A 25,863-nucleotide genomic window follows, 5' to 3' on the forward strand; every position below is an offset into this window, starting at 1 on the left:
ACTATTTTTCCTCTAGTTTCCTAAGGTGTAATCTTAGGTTCATTGATTTTATAGCTTTCTTATTTTCTAACATATGCACTTAATGCTATATTTTTCCTGTTAGGCACTACTTTTTCTGCATCTGACATATTTTGATAAGTTGTATTTTAATTTTAATTTTGTTAGAAATATTTAAAAACTTGTCTTCATTTTTGACCCAAAGTTATTTAGAAATGTGTTGTTTAATTTCCAAATATTTGGGAATTTTTACAACTATCTTTTTGTGGTTATTGGTTTCTAGTCTAATTCCACTGTGGTCTGAGGACATACTTTGAAGGATTTCTATTCTTTTAAACTTGTTAAGATGTATTTTATTGCTCCAAATATGGTGTATCTTGGTGAATATTCCATGCCAGCTTGAGAAGAAACACATATTCTGCTGTTATTAGATGGTAGATTTTGGAGTTTCATGCCAGTTTTAGATTCAGATCAAGACCACAGACTTCCCTGCCTTTCTCTCTGAGCCCATACAATGCTGCCTTCCCAGTAGGGAAGCTCCCAGCATGGTTGAAAGTTAAATGAGGGTAACTTTCAATCAGACAAGCAACCAAGTCACAGGCATTATTAGGAAGACCAGAGTCAAGAGGACAGGGAGGAGCTGGGTGATGGGTCATAGGCTAAATTATATGTGGGGTTGGGAGGAATGAGTATAATTTAAGCTCGTGTTGTATTACCACCTGTGCTTGGTACTCCATACCAATTATTTTGTGTAAGCTACCTTAGTACTCTCCAAAGTAGGTGGGATGGCTAATTTTGTGTGTCAACTTGACTGGGTTAAGGGATGCCCAGATAGCTGGGAAAACATTATTTCTGGGTGTGTCTGTGAGGGTGTTTCTGGAAGGGACCAGCATTTGAATCAGTAGACTGAGTAAGGAAGATTCCACCCTCACCACGGTGGGTGGGCATCATCCAATCTGTTGCAGGCCCAAATAGAACAAAAAGGAGGAGAAAGGGAGAATTCACTCTCTCTCTTCTTAAGTTGGGACATCCATCTTCTCCTGTCTTTGGATGTTGGAGTTTCTGGTTCTTGAGCCTTTGGACTCCAGGAGTTACACCATCAGCTCCCCTGGTTATCAGGCCATCAGACTTGGACTGAATTACCTATTGGCTTTCCTGGTTCTTCATCTTGCAGACGGCAGATCATGGGACTTCTCAGCCTCCATAATTGCGTGAGCCAATTCTCATAATAAATCTCTTCATATGTATCTGTATATCCTGTTGTTTCTGTTTGTCTGGAGAACTCTAATACAGTACAGTACATCGAAGGGGTAGGTGAAACACTAGATCTTCTGTTTTTGTTTTTGAATCTCATTGTTTTACTATTTCTGTTTCTAGGTGTATTTTAAAATGTATGGAACATAGTAGTAGAAAACTATAAAGCAGATAAGGACTAGTTCTTATCACCTCCACTGGTAAAACCCTGGTGTAGTCACCTTGATCTCTCACTAGGATTATTGCAGTAGCCTTAGATCTATTCTCCCTGATTTCAGCCTTCTTGCAGTGTGATCACACCAGGTGATTCTCTTACACACAGGTCAGGCCACGCCACCCTCTTCTCTGGCTTTCTGGTGTATGCCAAGTAGAGCCAAAGTTCTTACTGCTTATCTTCTCCCGTGCTGCTCTCACCTCTCTCCTGACCACCCATTTACAGGAGTCTCCTTGCTGCTTCCACCTCAGAGCTCTTGCAGTGGAGTTCCCTCTGCCTGAATCCTCTTTCCCCAAATCTATTCAACTTGCTTCCTTAATTTCTTTAAGTCTTTTAAATTTGTACCCTGCTGCATTTCCCAGTCCCCCTTCCTGCATTATTTTTTTCTCATAACATTTTCACTGTCGGACAGGTAATTTACTTATTTATTTTATGTATTGATTATCTTTCCCAAACTAGAATATAAGATACACGAGGACAAGGTTTTTGTTTTGGTACTGCTGCATTTCTGGAGTCTGATATCTACACGGAAGGTCCTCAGTGAACATTTGTTGACTACATGAAAGAATAAATATTGCAGGAGATGTTAAACTTTGTTGAGTGATGGGGTGCATAATGAAAACATTAGGTAGCCTAAGAGAAGTAAGGCTGAGTTCATGCTGCTGCTAGAAAGAGGGAGAGCTGAGTTTCAAATTCAGGGCTTCCTGATGCCAATGCTCACACTAATCCAAGATGCCATGGGGGTCGGGGAGGGGGCAAGAGAGAGAGACAGGGAGACAGGGAGTGGGGAGAGAGAAGAATGAGGATGAGAATATGAATGAGAATAAGAATTGAACTTAAAAGAAATCATTAGGACCAAGGAGAGCAAATAGGACCCACGTTTAGTCAGCAGGCAGTTCTTTTGGGACAAGAAATCATCTTAATTCCTCCAGGACCTTTAAGATCTGGTTGTCTGCGGAATGTTTTGGGGTTGGGGGAGAGTTTCTTTATCTCCTGCAAGTTCCCTGAAGTTGAGTCTCAGGTCAGTGGAGACAGATCTCCCTCCATGGTGGACCATTGTCATCTCTATTTGTAGGGTTTCACTTAGTGAGTTAGATGTCAGCTGGCACTGCAGTTCTGACTGGAAGAGAGAAAGCACTTGAAGAGCTTCCCTACCATTGAGGGAGAAGTCATTTTTCTAATTGTCTTCTCCACCAAAAAAGAAGTATATTCTAGCCTTGAAAATGGCAGCATGGGCCAGGCACAGTGGCTCATGCCTGTAATTCCCGCCTTTGGAAGGCCAAGGCAGAAGAATATCTTGAGACCAGGATTTCAGGACCAGCCCAGGCGGCATAGCAAGGCCTCTTCCCTATGAAAAACAAATTAGTCAGGCATGGTGGCTCACACTTGTAATCCCAGTTTCTTGGAAGGCTGAGATGGGAGTATCACTTGAGCCTAGGAGTTTGAGGCTGCAGTGAATTATGGTTGTACCACTGCACTCCAGCCTGGGTGACAGAGGGGAGACCCTATCTCTAAGAAAAAAAATGTAAAAAAAAAAAAAAAAAGGAAAAAGAAAATGTCAGCATGCAGTAAAACAAAAAGAAAGAGATGTTCTGTTTTGACCTCCTTCAGGTTTCCTTCTGTTCTCCAGTTCCTTTTCCTACTCAGAGCATTATTTCTTCCTTTCCAGTCCCGGACACCTAGAGCTCACCCACAAGGCGCCCAGCATTGTTGCCTGCTGTCTGTGTGAGCTGGTCTTCTCCACTGGGCTCTTTGTGGGTCCTTCTCTTTTTCCCTTTCAGTTGCTACCTTTGTTTATGAGTGTCTTCTCCCTGATGATCACATAGAAAACCCTGGGGCAGTGACAAGTAGGAGACCTCTGAGGGCACCACCTGCATATTGTGCTTGTGAGATAGTCACACCATCCAAGGAAAACAATTACAGCAGAAAACAGAGGGTCAGAGCTGGGCAGTTTGATGAAATTTAAGATTTAAAAAGCCTCAGGATACTGAATTATGTTAATCATAAGTCTTAGTCCATTTGGGCTGCTATAACAGTATACCACAGACTGAGTAATTTATAAATAAGCAAAAAAAAGTGTATTTGGGCCAGGCATGGTGGCTCACGCCTGTAATCCCAGCACTTTGAGAGGCCGAGGCAGGTGGATCATCTCAGGTCAGGAGTTGGAGACTAACCTGTCCAACATGGTGAAACCCCATCTCTACTAAAAATACAAAAATAAAATTAGCCAGGCATGGTGGCAGGTGCCTGTAATCCCAGCTACTCAGGAGACTGCGGCAGGAGAATCGCTTGAACCTGGGAGGCGGAGGTTGTGGTGAGCTGAGATTGCACCACTGCATTCCAGCCTGAGCGACAGAGTGAGACTCCGTCCTCAAAATAAATAAATAAATAAATGAATAAATAAATAAATAAGAGAAAGAAGTGTATTTGGCTCAAGTTTTGGAGGCTGAAAAGCTCAAGATCAAGGGGCCCCTACCTGGTGTAGGCCTTTTTGCTGTGTCATCCCATGGCAGAAGGTAGAAAGGCAGGATAGCATGAGAGAGCAAGAGAGGGCGAAACTTGCCTTTATAACAAACTCACCCTTACAATGATGAACCCGTTCCCTCCATAATGACATTCATCCATTCATGAGGGCTCTGACCTTCATGACATAATCACCTCTTAAAGGTAACCACCTCTCAACACTGTTGCATTGGGGGTTAAGTTTCCAACACATGTGCTTTGGGAGACACGTTCAAACTGCAGCACTGTAGAAGAAAGGTTTGTGTAGGGGGGTGCCTCTGAAGTACAATTAGAGTCTGAGAAATCTGATCCCACTCTGACCCTTCCCTATGGTATCTACTGCAGGAAATAAATCTGGAGCCTATCCAAGGAGGAATAGATTGCAGTAATGGGCCCCTGCTTTGAGGAATTAGGTGTGTTGAGTGTGAGAATTTCAGTAAAGACCATAACAGAAGGAAACTCAGTTCTGAGGTCAATGTGATGAACAAAGTAGGCCCGAGGAACTGGAGGAAGTCCAGGAAAGTGGGAGAAATGTTAGGAATATGCCATTATGGAAATGACTATTTGTCTACAGTTATTAAGAATGTTGGAAAAAAGAAAAATTCTGGTTTTATTTCATAAAAATAAAGAAGGGAACTGTCTAAGACAGTGCTGTCCAATTGAAATATAACATGTGCCACATCTGCAATGTAAATTTTCTCATAGCCAAGTTAAAAAAGGAAAAAGAAACAAGTGAAATTAATTTGAATGATATATTTTAATTTATTCAATATATCCAAATCTTATTTGAATGTGTAATTACTATAAAAATATTAATTTTATATATATTTTTCATACTAAGTATTTGAAATCTTGTATTTGACACCTAAGCCCATCTCAATTCTGACTAGCCACCTTCCAAGTGCTCCGTAATTACATGTAGCTAATGGCTGCCGTATTGGACAGCACGGGTCTAGAAGGTCCTCTTTTCTTTTCTAAAATCCTGATTATTTTATTCCTTCCTCATTATAAGCATACCCTGGTTTTGCTTGTCCTTCATGCTTCAGTGTCTAGCGTGTGTGTGCTGCATGTGGCTTTGGTTAATGGTTGCAGGGGTATAGGTTTGTCAATGTGATTGAATATAAGTAATTCGAGAATGGAGCTATGTCTTTTTACTTCCGTATTCCTTGACTCTGAAAGAATTCCTCGACTTCTGTATTCATCTGAAAGAATGGAAAGGTTGTGGAGAATGGATGGTGGATGCCCAGGGAAAGACATTACTCCATATCTCTATCTGATCTTAGACTAAATTGCTTCGCTTCTCTGCTCTTCTCCTTCTCCGTTAAATGGGGATGGTGGGATCATTTATACCTGCCTCCAGGATTGTTTTGAGGCTAAAGGAACACTGAATATAAAAGACACTTGGAAAAACACCATGCATGTATGTGAGGGTGTATTTATTACTTTAAGATCATTGAAATCAGCTGGTTTGTCTCTCTCTCTTCATGTGACGGTAATTTCTTTGCCAGCAGGAAACCATGAGAATTATGTGAATGAGAATTATGCTCTTGCCGAGATTGGAAGTGTGTGAATGTATGTGTTGGGGTGAGGGGGAACAAATGGATATGGATCTGAAAGTTGTCTGATGAAAGATTTCCCCACTTTGTGTGTAAGTCCATGTTAGAAAGCTAATTAGAAAGCCAGGTGAGCTTTCTGCTCATAGGTTTTTTTTTTTTTATACTTTAAGTTTTAGGGTACATGTGCACAACGTGCAGGTTTGTGACATATGTATACATGTGCCATGTTGGTGTGCTGCACCTGTTAACTCGTCATTTAACAATAGGTATATCTCCTAATCCTATCCCTCCCCCTTCCCCCGACCCCACAACAGGCCCCAGTGTGTCATGTTCCCCTTCCTGTGTCCATGTGTTCTCATTGTTCAGTTCCCACCTATGAGTGAGAAAATGCGGTGTTTGGTTTTTTGTCCTTGCAATAGTTTGCTGAGAATGATGATTTCCAGCTTCATTCATGTCCCTACAAAGGATGTGACCTCATCATTTTTTATGGCTGCATAGTATTCCATGGTGTATATGTGCCACATTTTCTTAATCCAGTCTATCATTGTTGGACATTTGGGTTGGTTCCAAGTCTTTGCTATTGTGAATAGTGCCACAATAAACATAAGTGTGCATGTGTCTTTATAGAAGCATGTTTATAATCCTTTGGATATATACCCAGTAATGGGATGGCTGGGTTAAATGGTATTTCTAGTTCTAGATCCCTGAGGAATTGCCTCACTGACTTCCACAATGGTCGAACTAGTTTACAGTCCCACTAACAGTGTAAAAGTGTTCCTATTTCTCCACATCCTCTCCAGCACCTGTTGTTTCCTGACTTTTTAATGATCGCCCTTCTAACTGGTGTGAGATGGTATCTCATTGTGGTTTTGATTTGCATTTCTCTGATGGCCAGTGATGATGAGCATTTTTCCATGTGTCTGTTGGCTGCATAAATGTCTTCTTTTGAGAAGTGTCTGTTCATATCCTTTGCCCACTTGTTGATGGGGTTGTTTGTTTTTTTCTTGTAAATTTGTTTGAGTTCATTGTAGATTCTGGATATTAGCCCTTTATCAGATGTATAGATTGCAAAAATTTTCTCCCACTCTGTAGGTTGCCTGTTCACTCTGATGGTGGTTTCTTTTGCTATACAGAAGCTCTTGAGTTTAATTAGATCCCATTTGTCAACTTTGGCTTTTGTTGCCATGGCTTTTGGTGTTATAGACATGAAGTCCTTGCTCATGCCTATGTCCTGAATGGTATTACCTAGGTTTTCTTCTAGGGTTTTGATGGTTTTCGGTCTAACATTTAAGTCTTTAACCCATCTTGAATTAATTTTTGTATAAGGTGTAAGGAAGGGATCCAGTTTCAGCTTTCTACATATGGCTAGCCAGTTTTCCCAGCACCATTTATTAAATAGGGAATCCTTTCCCCATTGCTTGTTTTTGTCAGGTTTGTCAAAGATCAGATAGTTGTAGATATGCAGCATTATTTCTGAGGGCTCTGTTCTGTTCCATTGATCTATATTTCTGTTTTGGTACCAGTACCATGCTGTTTTGGTTACTGTAGCCTTGTAGTATAGTTTGAAGTCAGGTAGCCTGATGCGACCGGCTTTGTTCTTTTGGCTTAGGATTGACTTGGCAATGCGGGCTCTTTTTTGGTTCCATATGAACTTTAAAGTAGTTTTTTCCAATTCTGTGAAGAAAGTCATTGGTAGCTTGATGGGGATGGCATTGAATCTATAAATTACCTTGGGCAGTATGGCCATTTTCACGATATTGATTCTTCCTACCCATGAGCATGGAATGTTCTTCCATTTGTTTGTATTCTCTTTTATTTTATTGAGCAGTGGTTTGTAGTTCTCCTTGAAGAGGTCCTTCACGTCCCTTATAAGTTGGATTCCTAGGTATTTTATCCTCTTTGAAGCAATTGTGAATGGGAGTTCACTCATGATTTGGCTCTCTGTTTGTCTGTTATTGGTGTATAAGAATGCTTGTGATTTTTGCACATTGATTTTGTATCCTGAGACTTCACTTAAGTTGCCTATCAGCTTAAGGAGATTTTGGGCTGAGATGATGGGGTTTTCTAGACATACAGTCATGTCATCTGCAAACAGGAACAATTTGACTTCCTCTTTTCCTAATTGAATACCCTTTATTTCCTTCTCCTGCCTGATTGCCCTGGCCAGAACTTCCAACACTATGTTGAATAGGAGTGATGAGAGGGGGCATCCCTGTCTTGTGCCAGTTTTCAAAGGGAATGCTTCCAGTTTTTGCCCATTCAGTATGATATTGGCTGTGGGTTTGTCATAGATAGCTCTTATTATTTGGAGATTCATCCCATCAATACCTAATTTATTGAGAGTTTTTAGCATGAAGGGTTGTTGAATTTTGTCAAAGGCCTTTTCTGCATCTATTGAGATAATCATTTGGTTTTTGTCCTTGGTTCTGTTTATATGCTGGATTATGTTTATTGATTTGCATATGTTGAACCAGCCTTGCATCCCAGGGATGAAGCCCACTTGATCATGGTGGATAAGCTTTTTGATGTGCTGCTGGATTCAGTTTGCCAATATTTTATTGAGGATTTTTGCATCGATGTTCATCAGGGATATTGGTCTAAAATTCTCTTTTTTTGTTGTGTCTCACCCTGGCTTTGGTATCGGGATGATGCTGGCCTCATAAAATGAGTTAGGGAGGATTCCCTCTTTTTCTATTGATTGGAAAAGTTTCAGAAGGAATGGTACCAGCCCCTCCTTGTACCTCTGGTAGAATTTGGCTGTGAATCCAACTGGTCCTGGACTTTTTTTGGTTGGTAAGCTATTAATTATTGTCTCAATTTCAGAGCCTGTTATTGGTCTATTCAGAGATTCAGCTTCTTCCTGGTTTAGTCTTGGGAGGGTGTATGTGTCGAGGAATGTATCCATTTCTTCTAGATTTTCTGGTTTATTTGCATAGAGGTGTTTATAGTATTCTCTGATGGTAGTTTGTATTTCTGTGGGATCGGTGGTGATATCCCCTTTATCATTTTTTATTGCGTCTATTTGATTCTTCTCTCTTTTCTTCTTTATTAGTCTTGCTAGCGGTCTATCAATTTTGTTGATTTTTTCAAAAAACCAGCTCCTGTATTCATTAATTTTTTGAAGGGTTTTTTGTGTCTCTATTTCCTTCAGTTCTGCTCTGATCTTAGTTATTTCTTGCCTTCTGCTAGCTTTTGAATGTGATTGCTCTTGCTTCTCTAGTTCTTTTAATGGTGATGTTAGGGTGTCAACTTTAGATCTTTCCTGCTTTCTCTTGTGGGCATTCAGTGCTATAAATTTCCCTCTACACACTGCTTTGAATGTGTCCCAGAGATTCTGGTATGTTGTGTCTTTGTTCTGGTTGATTTCAAAGAACATCTTTATTTCTGCCTTCATTTCATTATGTACCCAGTAGTCATTCAGGAGCAGGTTGTTCAGTTTCCATGTAGTTGAGCAGTTTTGAGAGAGTTTCTTAATCCTGAGTTCCAGTTTGATTGCACTGTGGTCTGAGAGACAGTTTGTTATAATTTCTGTTCTTTTACATTTGCTGAGGAGTGTTTTACTTCCCACTATGTGGTCAATTTTGGAATAGGTGTGGTGTGGTGCTGAAAAGAATTTATATTCTTTTGATTTGGGGTGGAGAGTGCTGTAGATGTCTATTAGGTCTGCTTGATGCAGAGCTGAGTTCAATTCCTGGATATCCTTGTTAACTTTCTGTCTCGTTGATCTGTCTAATGTTGACAGTGGGGTGTTAAAGTCTCCCATTATTATTGTGTGGGAATCTAAGTCTCTTTGTAGGTCTCTAAGGACTTGCTTTATGAATCTGGGTGCTCCTGTATTGGGTGCATATATATTTAGGATAGTTAGCTCTTCTTGTTGAATTGATCCCTTTCCATTGTGTAATGACCTTTGTCTCTTTTGATCTTTGTTGTTTTGAAGTCTGTTTTATCAGAGACTAGGATTGCAACCCCTGCCTTTTTTTGTTTTCCATTTGCTTGGTAGATCTTCCTCCATCCCTTTATTTTGAGCCTATGTGTGTCTCTGCACGTGAGATGGGTTTCCTGAATACAGCACACTGATGGGTCTTGACTCTTTATCCAGTTTGCCAGTCTGTGTCTTTTAATTGGAGCATTTAGCCCATTTTCATTTAAAGTTAATATTGTGATGTGTGAATTTGATCCTGTCATTATGACGTTAGCTGGTGATTTTGCTCATTAGTTGATGCAGTTTCTTCCTAGCCTCAATGGTCTTTACAATTTGGCATGTTTTTGCAGTGGCTGGTACCGGTTGTTCCTTTCCATGTTTAGTGCTTCCTTCAGGAGCTCTTTTAGGGCAGTCCTGGTGGTGACAAAATCTCTCAGCATTTGCTTGTCTGTAAAGGATTTTATTTCTCCTTCACTTATGAAGCTTAGTTTGGCTGGATATGAAATTCCGGGTTGAAAATTCTTTTCTTTAAGAATGTTGAATATTGGCCCCCACTCTCTTCTGACTTGTAGAGTTTCTGCCGAGAGATCAGCTGTTAGTCTGATGGGCTTTCCTTTGTGGGTAACCCGACCTTTCTCTCTGGCTGCCCTTAACACTTTTTCCTTCATTTCAACTTTGGTGAATCTGACAATTATGTGTCTTGGAGTTGCTCTTCTCGAGGAGTATCTTTGTGGCGTTCTCTGTATTTCCTGAATCTGAATGTTGGCCTGCCTTACTAGATTGGGGAAGTTCTCCTGGATAATATCCTGCAGAGTGTTTTCCAACTTGGTTGCATTCTCCCCATCACTTTCAGGTACACCAATCAGACGTAGATTTGGTCTTTTCACATAGTCCCATATTTCTTGGAGGCTTTGTTCATTTCTTTTTATTCTTTTTTCTCTAAACTTCTCTTCTTGCTTCATTTCATTCATTTGATCTTCCATCACTGATACCCTTTCTTCCAGTTGGTTGAATTGGCTACTGAGGCTTGTGCATTCATCATGTAGTTCTCGTGCTGTGGTTTTCAGCTCCATCAGGTCCTTTAAGGACTTCTCTGCGTTGGTTATTCTAGTTAGCCATTCGTCTAATTTTTTTTCAAGGTATTTAACTTCTTTGCCATGAGTTCGAACTTCCTCCTTTAGCTCGGAGTAGTTTGATAATCTGAAGCCTTCTTCTCTCAACTCGTCAAAGTCATTCTCCATCCAGCTTTGTTCTGTTGCTGGTGAGGAGCTGCATTCCTTTGGAGGAGGAGAGGTGCTCTGGTTTTTAGAGTTTCCAGTTTTTCTGCTCTGTTTTTTCCCCATCTTTGTGGTTTTATCTACCTTTGGTGTTTGATGATGGTGATGTACAGATGGGGTTTTGTTGTGGTTGTCCTTTCTCTTTGTTAGTTTTCCTTCTAACAGTCAGGACCCTCAGATGCAGGTCTGTTGGAGTTTGCTGGAGGTCCACTCCAGACCCTGTTTGCCTGGGTATCAGCAGCGGAGGCTGCAGAACAGTGGATATTGGTGAATAGCAAATGTTGCTGCCTGATCATTCCTGTGGAAGTTTTGTCTCAGAGGAGTACCCGGGCATGTGAGGTGTCAGTCTGCCCCTACTGGGGGTTGCCTCCCAGTTAGGCTACTCGGGAATCAGGGACCCACTTGAGGAGGCAGTCTGTCCGTTCTCAGATCTCCAGCTGCATGCTGGGAGTACCACTACTCTCTTCAAAGCTGTCAGACAGGGACATTTAAGTCTGCAGAGGTTTCTGCTGCCTTTTTTTTGGCTATGCCCTGCCCCTAGAGGTGGAGTCTATAGAGGCAGGCAGGCCTCCTTGAGCTGAGGTGGGCTCCACCCAGTTCGAGCTCCCTGGCTGCTTTGTTTACCTACTCAAGCCTCGGCAATGGCGGGTGACCCTCCCCCAGCCTCACTGCCACCTTGCAGTTTGATCTCAGACTGCTGTGCTAGCAATGAGCGAGGCTCCGTGGGCATAGGACCCGCTGAGCCATGCGCGGGATATAATCTCCTGGTGTGTCGTTTGCTAAGACCTTTGGAAAAGCGCAGTATTAGGGTGGGAGTGACCCGGTTTTCCAGGTGCTGTCTGTCACCCGTTTCTTTGAGTAGGAAAGGGAATTCCCTGACCCCTTGCGCTTCCCGGGTGAGGCGATGCCTCGCCCTGCTTCGGCTTATGCTCAGTGCGCTGCACCCACTGTCCTGTACCCACTGTCCGACACTCCCCAATGAGATGAACCCGGTACCTCAGTTGGAAATGCAGAAATCACCTGTCTTCTGCATCGCTCACGCTGGGTGCTGTAGACTGGAGCTGTTCCTTTTCGGCCATCTTTGATCCACCCCAGTCTGCTCATAGGTCTTTAAAGTAAACAAGTCTGTCATCAGAGGCAAATTCCCCTTATCCAAGTGTTCAGTGGCTCTGAATTCCAAGAGCTCACGGCATTGTGTTACTAACCTGTACCCAGGAGAATGGACACCTTCCCCTCTGGGAGCCTTAGAGGAACATCTGGTCTTGTCTTGTCCTGAGTGTTCGTACTTGGCCTTTCTTCCTATGAGGGCACTTGTTTGTAAATGGTTTTACACTTTATTAAGCAATCAGTTTTTGCTTGGAACTAAACTCGTGCTAATTTACCTGGATTAATGCTGTAGGCCAACGTGGTGGGTGATGAGGGTTGGGTAAGGCCTGCGTGTGCCATGAGAGTGGGGAAGTCTGACCTAAACCCCAGGACCAACCCAAGCTTCTCATGTCTCATGCATGTTCCATGTGGAAGGCATTTGTGCCATCCCACCATATGACGACCCCCAGGGGGCTCTCCGTTGGACACCTCTTTATTCCTTTTCTCCCCATCTAGTTTGCTCAATTGCTGTTCCAAAGTTGCTCCTCCTCAGAAATCTTCAATAGCTCTCTGTTGTCACTGGGACTTCAGAGGCATCTGCAATCTGGTTCCTATTTATACATCCTGTGGGTAAAAAACTGCCCTATTCCCACTGAATGAGCCTTGCCTGCCCCATCTCCATTCCTCTGCCCTTTTTTTCCAGAGCTTCTCCCCCAGAATAGGACCAGCAGTCCCAGTTGACCTGGGACTAGGGCTACTTGGGATGCAAGACTTCCAGTGTTCAATCTGGTATGTTCCCTGCTCCAATACCATCTCTAGTTATTGACATTTGCCTGTTTTTAGGGTACTGCTGAATTCCCTGTTGGGCCTCTGTGGTTTAGCTCTGATTGTCTGTCCATCCATATGGTGCAGGCATTGCCTTTTGCCATAAGTATTTGTGTTCACTCATTGTCTCCCAATCTGAACTGTAATTAATTTGAGGATGAGGATCATGTCATATTCTGTGGATTCTTTCAAGCACCTAGCACAGGACTTTCATGTGGTAGATGTTGAGATATTATTTGCTGCATGAAGGAATGGTGAATAAATTACCATTGAATAAATTACGTAGTTGTAATGAGAGAATGTATTGTAACTATGTTGATGGATTTTTATTGTTTTGTTGATTGCAAAAGAATATATATTCATTGTACTTTTGTGGAAAGTTTGGGAAAAATAGAAAAGCATACATATATCTCTTGTAAACCCACTATCCAGAAATACATAACTACTATTAATATCTTTGTGTGCATCCCTCCAACGTCTTCCCTCCTTCCTATCCTTCTGTTTGTCCAGTCATCATCTGCATATTTCCATGTCTTTAAAAAAAACTTGGATCTTATAGTACATATAGTTTTGTATATTCTTAGAAGGGATATATGTGTGTGTGTATATATATATATATATATAAGATGCATACACGCTTACCTATATATTCATATACTTATATATATACATATATCCCTTCTAAGAATATACGTGTGTGTGTGCATCTCCTTTTTAGGGGTCCCCAACCCCTGGGCTGTAGACCAGTATCAGTCCGTGGCCTGTTAGGAACTGGGCCAGGTAGCAGGAGGTAGGTGAGCGGTGTGCAAGAGAGCATTACTGCCTAAGCTCTGCCTTCACTCAGATCAGCAGTGGCATTAGATTATTATAGGAGCATGAACCTTACTGTGAACTGTGCAGGCAAGGGATCTAGGTTGCATCCTTCTTATGAGAATCTAATGCTTAATGATCTGAGATGGAATAGTTTCATCCTGAAACCATCCCCCACCCCACCTTCCCATCGATGGAAAAATTGTCTTCCACAAAACCGGTCCCTGGTGCCAAAAAGGTTGGGGACCACTGCTTTATATATATAACAGTTCTATCTATCTATCTATCTATCTATCTATCTATCTATCTATCTATCTATCTAATCTATCTGTCATCTCTTTTGTTCCATTTGTGTCCATACCATCAGGTTTTTTTTTCTTTTTTAACCAATCCACCATTGTTGAACATTTAAGTTTGTTTCAGAAATTTTGCTCTTATGGCTCTTTGTTCCATCCCTCATTATTTCCTTAAGATAAATGCTTAGAAGTAGAATTTCTGCTTCTAAGATTAAAGGCTTCTGAGTGATTTTTAAGATTCAGGGTGCTGCTTGTAGTTTGCAGGTCAGCTTAACCTGTGATCTTGCAATTCTAGTGCTGTTCTAAGATTTGGGCAGTGGAGGTTTGAGGAGACTTAGTTCTACTGCAGGGCTGAGAAAACCTAGGCAAGACTGAGAATTAACTTGGTTTATGGTTGATCTGGATTCTGGGAGTTTGTGTGTGTCAGGGATGATAATAGGAAGTTGATTGAAGCCAAGAAAATGGTTGGAAACCAGGTTAGGACAGTGAGAGTAGAACGATTAGGTGATGTCAGGACAAAGACCTGGGGATATACTGCACTAAATATGAGGACCTTGAAGCTGGGATGAATCCTGCCTCAGGCTCAAGGCCGTTTACACTTGACCTATCAGAAATCAAAGGATAATTTCTGTGATGGGGCTCTCCTAGGGCCTGCAGACCCAAAGAGCATCTGTATATAACCCCTGGAAAAATCCTAGTATCTGGCTGATCTTTTCTAGCTCTAGATTTTCTGAGCTCAGCAAATGATGGTGGAAGTCCAGGCTCACTGAGAGACTAGTCCTATAAGTCACAAACCTGGGGTAGATTAGGAATAATGAATACAAATGACCAGTTCTGGTGACCCAGTTATAAGAGGACTCCATCTGCCTTAAGTCTCTTAATCTCAACAATTACATCCCAGGCCAGATGTCACACTATAATGTAATATAATATTGCTAGTAATATTTCAGGAAATCATTGCAGAGTGGGAATGTTCTGAAAGACTGGAGACAAGCAATTATTCCTATTTTCAAAATAGTTTTATGAACTCAGATTCATGAGTTAGTTTAAAATCCTAGGCAAAAGATTCTATAATAGATTATTTAAAAAATGGTATGTGTAACTTTGGAAAAGCAAATAGTAGTCACTAGGAATCATCATGGGATAAACAAGAAGCACATGTTGTTCAGCTAACCTCATTTTCTGTTTTATGGTACACGTGTATATCCTACTTTCAGCAAGACATTTGAAAAGTCTCTCTAGATTACCCCAGGCTCAAGACTGAGACCTTTGGGCTGGATCAGTTATTCATGGAATGATATGCCCAGAGTACATTTTTAATGAAGCAATCTTAAGCCAGATACAGGTTTCCAGAGTTATAAAGTTCTATTCTTGATCCTGCATTGTTAACATTTCCTTTAATCAATGACAAAGAAAGAAATATGTAGGTGACATGAAGATGGGAGACACAATGGATATGTTGGATGAAAGACTTCAGATCCAAAATGATAAGTTCAGGCTTGAAGAAATGAACTTAATTTATCAAAATGATGGTTAATAGGGTCATAAGCTAGGTTTTATCCTTGCATTAAAAAAGTAAAACAACTGCACAAATGTGTGATAGGGAGGTTTGGCGTATCCATATTTCAGAAGGTATTAGGTGTCAAGTGCTGTATGTATCAGGCTGCATGAGTGGAACTACAGAACCTGTCATGATGGAGAGTCCTGCCCTGGCACTGCTTCTACCACGCCTGTCAGGAGGTGACTCGTTTTGGGCCCAGAACTTGGAGATAAAACAAAAGGCAGACAGTGTGCTGTAGGGGAAAGCACATGACAACTTCCAAATCTGCCAACAGACTATGTGTAGCTTGGGGAGTGAGTGTACTTAATCTCTCTGAGCCTCAGTTTTCTTATCAGTAAAATGGGCCAAGAGAACTTGACCTTATCAAGTTTTCTGAGAATTATGTAATTTATGAGCATTGCTTAGAAAATCACCTTGCTCAGACTTGGTACTCAGCAAATCTTGAATTTCTTTTGGTTGTCCCTGCTATTGGGAATGAACAAGATTCTAAGAGTCAAAATTCATGTTAATTGAAGGTTTGCAGTCTGGAGAAGAGTGGACGTCAGAGCATGTGAGATGTATGCATATACTCTGCCAGACATTATTCTGAACAATTTATATGATTCTCTCATTTACCTTTCTGAATAGTCCAATGAAGTATATACTGTTTGTATCGGCATTTTACAGATTAGGAAACTGAGGCTCAAGGAATATGTGCCACAGCTAATCAGGGACACAGCTGGGACCAGAACCTGATCTTCTGCCTCCCCGTCTGTACTACTGTGCTGCATCTCTTGCATTCTAGAAGAATATTGAAAATTGGCAAGTGTTAGAGGAGGTGTTTGTGGTGAATGGAGGGCTCCATCTGGGTTGATTCCTAGGAGCTGTCAGTGTAAGTCCTATACCAGCCACTGACCAGATAGGACATCTCTTTTCATTCCCTGCTTCTACCTCCCGCTTTTCTCTCCATGTTTTCCTCAGCTGGGCCCTTAGGGCATTTTTGTGAACAACTGCTATATTAGTCTTTTCTCACGCTGCTATGAAGAAATACCCAAGACTGAGTAATTTATACAGAAAAGAGGTTTAATTGACTCACAGTTCCACATGGCTGGGGAGGCCTCAGGAAACTTATAATCATGTTAGAAGGCACCTCTTCACAGGGCAGGCAGGAGAGATAATGAGAGCCAAGCGAAGGGGGAATCCCCCTATAAAACCACCAGATCTCTTGAGAACTCACTCACTATTGCCAGAACAGTTTGGGGGAAACCAACCCCATGATTCCATTATCTCCACCTGGTCCTGCCCTTGACACATGGAGATTATTACAATTCAAGGTGAGGTTTGGGTGGGGACACAGAGCCAAATGCTGAGTTTAGGCTTTCTGTTCTACCCTGTGGATCACCCTATGGTCTGGGGCCAGGGGGCCAAGGTTGAATTGGATGCAGAGTGTATTTATCATGGTTGGAAGGGCAGGTACTGAGTAGGGTTTAACTGCATGAGTGAATGCATTCCCAAAGAGAGCCAGAATCTGTCTGGTTGTCTGGTGTCTCCGCTGAGCCCGCATTCCCTTGCCTAGTTTCTGCTGACATGACCTTCTTGTGAGGACCCTGGAGGGAGCTTTTGAGAAACACCATCACCCTCCATTCATTCACATATGCTCCAGACAGCTACTTCTCTGGCATGGGGCAAAATAAATGATCTTTGGGGATATCATGGCTATCTTTTCGAAGGTTTTTCTTAGATCCCAGCCCGAGGCAGAGATGCAAATTGATGTGTCTTCTTAATCTGCATCTTCATTTACTGAGTCATGTTCCTTCTGGGAGAAAGAGCAGGGCTTGTGATTTAACTCTAAATCATCTCTATCCCAGAAGTCACTGCCGGGGACACTTCCAGAAGAGGCTACCTAATCCCTGACTTTCCCAACTCTGACATTCCCCTTCAACTTTCTTGGGAGGCTCAGTTTCCCTGTCACCTTTAGTCTACCTTCCAGACTCTAGGCTTTGGATCACACTGCCTTGCCCACTGTGATGTGTCTCCATGTCCTCTGTACATCTGGAACTTACATGCTTTTCCAGTTTACAAATCAACCCTGCTCCATGGAGCTGCCCAGGTTATTGAGCCTGTGTAGATTTACCGAGCTGTGAGTAACTTAAGGACAGGAACACTCATCCCTGTATCTAGAATTTGCCTGATGCTCAGTAGACACTGTTCAAAGCATGAGTGAGGACAAATGAAGGGAGGAACATCAATTGGCACCATTTAGCCCTTCATTCATCTCTGGTTGTTTCATGGTGGTGACATTGATCCCACCTTCCAGCTATGGGCTCAGAAGTCAGAGGCCTGGTTCCAAATCTCAGCCCTTCCAGTAACTTGGGAACATTTGGTAAATTCTCTAAACCTCAGTTTCTTTAACACTGGGGAATATTTTATAGGGTTAGAAGGAATAAATGAGATTATGGACACAATACCCTTACTGATCACAACAAACATTCCAGAAATATGCGTTAGCTCTCGTGTAAATATCTGGAGGACAGAACATCATCTTATATTACTGCTGCTGGTTTGGTGTTTAATTGGCCCTCAGTTAAGTCCATCTTGAGTGCTTATTGGATAAGAGCTCCAACATGTGCAAAGTAAGCAAGAAAGGGCTTAGGCAAGGGGGCTGCCACATTTATAATATAACAGGATTGTGCTAGCTTGGAGGCTTAATAGCAGACATTTTGTGTACAAAATGAGAAACAGAAGCATGAGGTCAGGGCCATTGTTACATCAGTGTTCTCTGTTGTCTTTGAACACGATGTTCCTAAACCGTAGTGCTTGCATTTGAAAGGCAGGTCACTCTAGGACGACACTGCTTTTAAAGATTATAATAGATGCTGGCAAGAGAAGAACACTCAGAACCAGGCTCTGCTTCAGGAAGTTAAAAATGCCAAATGCCAGTGCCTTTGCTGTGCCCCCAAGGGGGTGGGGGCAGTATGAAATTTACTAGAAAGATGAACTCCCATGTCAGTCTCCTTAAATGGGATGAGCCTCTGCTCTTGCACGCGTGCATGCTGCTGCTGCTGTTTAAAAGCTTTTATCTTGGGCTAAAATGTGCATATTGTGGGCAGAGCTATCTCTCCACTTCGCTGAAAAAAATCACCATGCTAACAGGCAGGGATGGGAAAGGGGTCTGCCACAGCAGTGCTTTAACATCTAGATGGCCTATTTAGCTGGGGAGCTTGTGTAGGTGTGCTGGGTATAGCCTGGTGTATGTAGAATGAGGGTCAGCCTAGGGGTGGGGGTAGCTGGACCCATGTAGGCTCAGTCCTCAGGGGAGAAGGAGGGCCTCTTTCAGGCCCCATTCATGGTCTCTGGTATCTGAAGGTCAAGGGGCTGAGCAAACAGTGGAGGTGGGAGCCCAGTGGCAGAGTTGGGGCAATCAGCTTACAGTACATAAGCTGATAAATCAGTGATAGATTTGATTTCCATGCAAGAACTGATGTAGATTGTCATGGGCATAAGCAAAAAAATAATAACCCGTGAACTTACAGAATGCTTTATGCTGCTGAAAATGCTCTGGGGCCCATGAGCTCCTCTGATGCCCCCAGGAGCCCTGAGAAGTGGGGAAGGCATGTACTACTCTCCCTTAGCAGAGGTGCAGAGAGGGTCAAGGGACCTGCACAAGGCCACCAAGCTAGTTCTCAAATAGCTAGACCTGATGTCCATACTAATTTCTGTGATTTCTTCATTTGTGCATTCACTCTTTCATCAAATCTTTGATAATTTTTTTTTATTTTTTAGAGACAGGGTCTTGCTCTTGCCCAGACTAGAGTACAGTGGCAAGATGAGAGCTCACTGCAGCCTTGAACTCCTAGGTTGAAGTGGTCTTCCTGCCACAGCATCCCAAGTAGTTGGGACTATAGATGCGCACCACCATGCCCTGATGATTAATTTTTTTTTTTTTTTTTTTTGTAGAAATAAGGTCCCGCTATGTTGACCAAACGCTTTGAGCCATTATTTTTGGTGCCAAGCACTGAGTTAGGTTTAAGAAATACGGAGATCAGAGACTTGCCTTCAAAGTGATCCCTATAGTTTATGTGTTTAAATAAAGCAGCTTTGGAGTGTTTTTCCCTCAGCTTTCCTCTGGGAAGCTCCAAGTTTGGTGCTTTGCTGTGAAGCCCAAAGATTTCATTTTCTTTTTTCTCAATCCCCTGTTTTGTGGTGGAGGAGAAGGCCAGGAGCCCTCTTGTTGAGCAAACCTGCAAACCTAAGCCAATTTATATAAGGCTGTTCTTTTTTCAGCATCCCCTCGGAACGAAAAGATGGGGGTTATGATGTTTCCCAGTGATGCCTTTAGATGCATGATGGTGCCTGGACAGATCATAAGCTTTATAAGGGTCCTGATGTCCTGTTTGTTTTAGCAATCTGCCCTCATGCAATAGGAGGCATTCAGCAGACAATAACTGGATTGAGGTGGTTGAGATATTACTATTTTAAGTTATTTGTGTCTCTGTGTGTGTGAGTAGATGTATGTTGGGTTGGCTTAATCTAAAATGTAAACAAAATTTGTCTACTTTTGTGGTTTGTTTTTAGGGATGCTAGGAAGATCTCGTCCCTAGAAATATATCCCATTACCTAGCTCAGTGTGCTCTAATTTTTACCATTAGAGATGCAATTCTTTATTGTAAGGGTGAATATCTGTAGTCCCGCACATGTTAGTATGAATTAGTCAGTGGTCTTTCCTTTTAGCTCTAGAAGAAATTACAGTAGTAAGGGGGCCTGGAGCTCTAGAAGAGAGCAAAGGGCAGAGAAAGCAACAGCAAAGCTCAGGCACCAAAGGCAAACTGCTGCTTTTGTAATTTGGCTGAGAGAGGACCTTAGTCCTGTCTTAAGAAGATTGAAAGAGCTTCAGAGACCAAGTATCTGTTTCTCCCTGAGAACTAATTACCAAGTACCAAGAGCACAGACGACACTGTGCTGGTGCACAGGACTTTGCATGCTATTGTTACTCAGGCTGTGGGTCCTAGTCTTGTGCAGGCATGATGGCTTTATCAATCATCATAGTGAGAATGAGTCATGAGGGATCCACACTTGGACAGAAGGGCTTAGCCCTGAAATCCCTCTCCATAGCTTGCACTGATAGTGTTCTCTTTTAACGGGAGAGACCATGTTTTGCAATGAAAATACATCTGCAGGCTTTGGGTGGAGCTAGCCAGACCTGGGTTTGATCCTAGCTAAGGAACTTTATAGCTTTGTGATCTTGACTGAAAGATTTAATCTCTCTGATCACCAGAGATAAAATTAACACTGACCTCCTACATGTGATGGGAGTATTAAATGAGATGAAGTATGTGCAGGGCCTGTTATTAACTTATTACTAATACATCTAACAAGTTAGGTATCTCTTTTTTTAAAAAACCATTTTTTATTGCAGTTAATTAAAAAAAATCTACCCTTTAATGTATTTGGTTTAGAAATTATTTCCCCAGAACAGAATGGGTAGAGTGTAAATTCAAGAGTCAGTAAAGCACATCAAGAAAGAGAAGGGCTCCCAGAGGGGGCTGTTCCCTGCCGCTTGCCTTTCACGTGGCTCTCCTGCCTGGTGACTGTCGGCTGGGCAGGGGGCCGGGCTGCTCCCAGGGAAGCTGTGCTGCTGCATTGTTCTTGGCACTTATGCCAGCCATTCAGGGCTCTCAAAAAATTGGCTTAGAAAATAGTTTGAAAGTTATTACTTGGGATTCAGGAAACTCCAGGTGGCTTTTGAGAGCTGCCCCCAAATGCAGCCGGAGATGCGTCCTCAGCTGTTCACTTTCAGGACTTTCATTATTTTTCATGTTTATTTCGGGCTGGAGCCAGAGCTGCGGTATTCATGAGCTCTCACCGTCTGTTTTTTTTTTTTTTTTTTTTTAATCAATCCCTTTGTTTCTTTAGGAGAGAAAGAAGCTTGCTCCCCAATCCCCTCTGCCCCACCATAGGGTTCAAGGAAACTGGCCCTCATAATTGTAAATTACCTATGAAAAAGACAGAGCCCTTGGCTCCCTTCCTGGCGAAAGCTTCAAGATCAGCAGTGATAGCGGAAATTAATGAAAGCGGCTGCTGAGCCCCTGGCCTGTTGGTGGCTGCTGAGATGAAAAGGCAGCAATTGAAGTCGGCTTTGGGGATGAGCATTCCGATAAGGATTTTTGTTTGGGATACGGTTATGACCTGTAGCATGGGCTCCAGCCAGGACTTAGGTTTCTTGGAACCGGTTCTGATTTGCTCACTAACAACAGTCTGCTTTTCTTTCAAAATATAACCTCTTTCCCTCTAATCTGACCACCTCATCCCCCAAGAAAAGAAATGCAGCCCTCCAAACACAATACAGTAGTAGCCCAAGGTGACGCCAAATGTCTGAATCTCTCCCTCTTTTCTTTTTCTTCTTCTTTTTAGTAGCAGAATGAGGCTCAGTTGAACTCATTTTCTCTTTCATCTCGGCTCATCCCCCTTGGGCTGGTGTTAAACAGCTGTCATACAAGGGCTGCCCAGGAATCCAGTTATGAAACAAACCAGCCAGCCTTCTTAATTGTCCTCCTGCGACTGGACTAAATTTGTCATCCTAATTCTTGAGCACTTGAGTTCCTGGGCTGCAGGCTTGAGTGTCATTCCTGAACTTGGCCAGTTGTTTGCCCTCCGTGAGACCCTCTTGTAAACTGATTAGATGGCACTCAGGAGGCCACGGCGGGGCGGGTTGAGGGGGGCAGGACTGAGCTTGTTATAAACGGAGATTTCTTATTTAGGTGGAAGGCAAAGTTTTCTCCTTACTGTTCCACTGTCTTCCTGAGAGAAATTAACACTCAAGTGGAAAGAACACATTCCACATGGTACACGGACACATGTGTTTTGTTGCACATGAGGGCTGGGTTTTTGACTGTAAGTGACACTTCATTCTGTCAAGATTTAGAAGTATATTTTAAATTGACATCAATGAATTTAACCGTCATGGTTTTGGATATTATTGTCAGCATCCCCCAACATCTATGGCATTATAGTAATTTTTTGCAGTATATTGTACTAAATGGTTTTTCTGTTGTCTTTTTGGGAAGTGAGTCCTTCTGAAATCTGTTTCCTTTATATTCTCAGCAGGTGAACCTTTTCTTTTCTTTTCAAAATACTTCAATCTCAGAGTCTTTCTTTGACTTCTTCTTTTCTTTCAAAGGCATGTTTTCTTTTTTTTTTTTTATTATTATTATACTTAAAGTTTTCGGGTACATGTGCACAATGTGCAGGTTAGTTACATATGTATACATGTGCCATGCTGGTGTGCTGCACCCATTAACTCGTCATTTAGCATTAGGTTTATCTCCTAATGCCATCCCTCCCCCTTCCCCCACCCCACAACAGTCCCCAGAGTGTGATGTTCCCCTTCCTGTGTCCATGTGTTCTCATTGTTCATTCCCATCTATGACTGAGAACATGCAGTGTTTGGTTTTTTGTCCTTGCGATAGTTTACTGAGAATGATGATTTCCAATTTCATCCATGTCCCTACAAAGGACATGAACTCATCTTTTTTATGGCTGCATAGTATTCCATGGTGTATATGTGCCACATTTTCTTAATCCAGTCTATCCCTGTTGGACATTTGGGTTGGTTCCAAGTCTTTGCTATTGTGAATAGTGCCGCAATAAACATAAGTGTGCATGTGTCTTTATAGCAGCATGATTTATAGTCCTTTGGGTATATACCCAGTAATGGGATGGCTGGGTCAAATGGTATTTCTAGTTCTAGATCCCTGAGGAATCGCCACACTGACTTCCACAATGGTTGAACTAGTTTACAGTCCCACCAACAGTGTCAAAGTGTTCCTATTTCTCCACATCCTCTCCAGCACCTGTTGTTTCCTGACTTTTTACTGATGGCCATTCTAACTGGTGTGAGATGGTATCTCATTGTGGTTTTGATTTGCATTTCTCTGATGGCCAGTGATGGTGAGCATTTTTTCATGTGTCTTTTGGCTGCATAAATGTCTTCTTTTGAGAAGTGTCTGTTCATATCCTTTGCCCACTTTTTGATGGGGTTGTTTGCTTTTTTCTTGTAAATTTGAGTTCATTGTAGATTCTGGATATTAGCCCTTTGTCAGATGAGTAGGTTGCGAAAATTTTCTCCCATTTTGTGGGTTGCCTGTTCACTCTGATGGTAGTTTCTTTTGCTGTGCAGAAGCTCTTGAGTTTAATTAGATCCCATTTGTCAATTTTGTCTTTTGTTGCCATTGCTTTTGGTGTTTTAGACATGAAGTCCTTGCCCACGCCTATGTCCTGAATGGTAATGCCTAGGTTTTCTTCTAGGGTTTTTATGGTTTTAGGTCTAACGTTTAAGTCTTTAATCCATCTTGAATTGATTTTTGTATAAGGTGTAAGGAAGGGATCCAGTTTCAGCTTTCTACATATGGCTAGCCAATTTTCCCAGCACCATTTATTAAATAGGGAATCCTTTCCCCATTGCTTGTTTTTCTCAAGTTTGTCAAAGATCAGATAGTTGTAGATATGCGGCGTTATTTCTGAGCGCTCTGTTCTGTTCCATTGATCTATACCAGTACCATGCTGTTTTGGTTACTGTAGCCTTGTAGTATAGTGTGAAGTCAGGTAGCCTGATGTGACCGGCTTTGTTCTTTTGGCTTAGGATTGACTTGGTGATGCGGGCTCTTTTTTGGTTCCATATAAACTTTAAAGTAATTTTTTTCCCTTTCTTACTTGATAGTTCAGATTTTAAATGTGATCATTTTTTCTTTGTTCACAACTCACCCACATATCCATGACATTTTATATCGATCCAGCCGAGGCACTTTCCAGAAACAGGTTCTTGATTCATCTTGAAGGAGCAGTTTATGGATGTAGCCTCTTAGAAATACCTGGTAATATCAGAAGATCCTGGAAGTAAATGAACCAGTGGTCTTCTCCCATTTGCCGTTTCTTTCTTTATAGTTGGCATATCGTCTTTAGGGGACTGTGGCAGAATTGCAGTATCTGTAGCTGCTTTGGGACAGATCTTTATGGGTTCCGTGTTCCCTCCTGGCATCTCAAGGCAGAAGAATGGACGCACGGGCTTTGAGGCAGACACGTGTGACTGTATATAGAAGGAAACCAACAGACCTTGGGAAATGAAATGGCTTTCAGGTCACAGACAAAGTTGGGTTCATATGGAGAACAATTCATTGTTGAGAACTGATAGCAACTTAATATTTTCCCTTGAGACGCAAGGGCTTCCCAGTACTCAAGGTCTGAAGATATAGGAGACATTCCTTGACAATATACAGATTCCCTGCCAATACCCACAGGTGAGTCAGCTAACTCTCTTAATCCTACCTCCTCCCAACTGTGGCAGCTGGAAGGAAAGCCAGAGGAACCCAGGACATGAGCTGCAGAGATGAATGTTTCAAGGTTTTCTCTGGTGGTCTCTTTGAGGCATTTGTGCATCTGATGCTCTGCAAGTCATTAGAAAACACAAGGAAGCCATTGGCTATGGCTGGATCCAGACTCAAACATACACAAACCTCAGCCTCCAGCAGCGCCTGCCCAGCACAGGTATCATCACTTTTGTCTCTGCTGCCAGCTGCCTCAGGGCCATGCTGATCTGGACTGTCTGTGTCTGAGCGATGTCAAGACACTGGAGACAAATGAAAAGACCATCTTGGTTCACTCTCTCCAAATGCCGGAGACAAGAGAAACAGAAGTTGTATTTGCAGAATAGTAAATAGGGATCTTCAAAATAGGTCAGGCAAATGGGTCAATTTCTTTCTGAGTTTTTTTCTGCTATTGTCACATAGAAGTTCACCACCTCAGGGCAAATTCAGGCCTGTGTTCATGACTGCTCCAGCTCTCTGATAAGTCTGACCATGTTGCCCAGTGCCAGGTTCTCCTGAATCTGTTTCTCCCAGGAGTACTGAAAGCACTCGGGAGAGGTGATAACCCTGTTATCTGTCTTCATCACCAACGAGTCAAGACACTTTAGACAGAGGCCATGTCTACAACTCATAGAGTAGGGTTCTTCACAGTAGTCCCTGCAACAGGGGGAGGTCAACAGGGCTTTCTGGAGTTCAGTCTCAGATGCTCTTAAATTGAAGTCCTCTCCTCAGGCTTCTGGCTCTGAAGATCCCCAGCATGTCTGAAGGATCTGGAGTCACTGCTGTGCTTTTAGTGGGGCAAGTGAAATCACACGTGTCCCCACATCCTTCTATACCCATTTCACCTACTCAGTCATTTGATTGGATTTCCATTAGAAAGCCAAGCAAAATAAGACAAGGAATTCACCCACCTTTGTAGGATGGGAGGATTTCTGGGTGCTAATTTTCAGGTTCTGTGTGTATTCAACCACCAAACAGAATTGTACTTGGTACCTCTTTTGTGTAGTAAGTATGCAAGGAGATATGGTATGTTTAATGGTGAACAGGAAAGACCTGGACCACAAAATATTAGCTGGTCTTTCCTTTTACAAATGGGAAGAATTTTCTTTATTTTGTTCATAGAACGTATTTCTTGGCATGATTAAAACATGCAAAAAGGTATGCATTTACAATTTTGCAGTGCGTACTAACAAAGGCAAACTCAGTGATATTTTTATTACATAAA

The 25,863-nt window shown here is 42.2% G+C and overlaps 1 protein-coding gene across 1 annotated transcript in view, besides 1 other annotated feature; it reads left to right on the forward strand.

Annotated features, from left to right (window-relative positions):
- The window catches only part of SORCS3 (sortilin related VPS10 domain containing receptor 3), a 623,953-nt gene that overhangs the window by 73,019 nt on the left and 525,071 nt on the right, over positions 1-25,863 (forward strand). The gene's annotated exons all lie outside the window — the stretch shown is intronic.
- Positions 20,694-21,651: an enhancer, noted in NCBI's record as "NANOG hESC enhancer chr10:106494760-106495717 (GRCh37/hg19 assembly coordinates)". NCBI's record gives its function as "activates a minimal SCP1, AML or CMV promoter by ChIP-STARR-seq in naive H9 embryonic stem cells {active_cell/tissue: H9 hESC(naive)}" and the evidence as "EXISTENCE:reporter gene assay evidence [ECO:0000049][PMID:30033119]".

This window comes from Homo sapiens, chromosome 10 (assembly GCF_000001405.40).
Source record: "Homo sapiens chromosome 10, GRCh38.p14 Primary Assembly".
NCBI classification, from domain to species: Eukaryota; Metazoa; Chordata; class Mammalia; order Primates; family Hominidae; genus Homo; species Homo sapiens.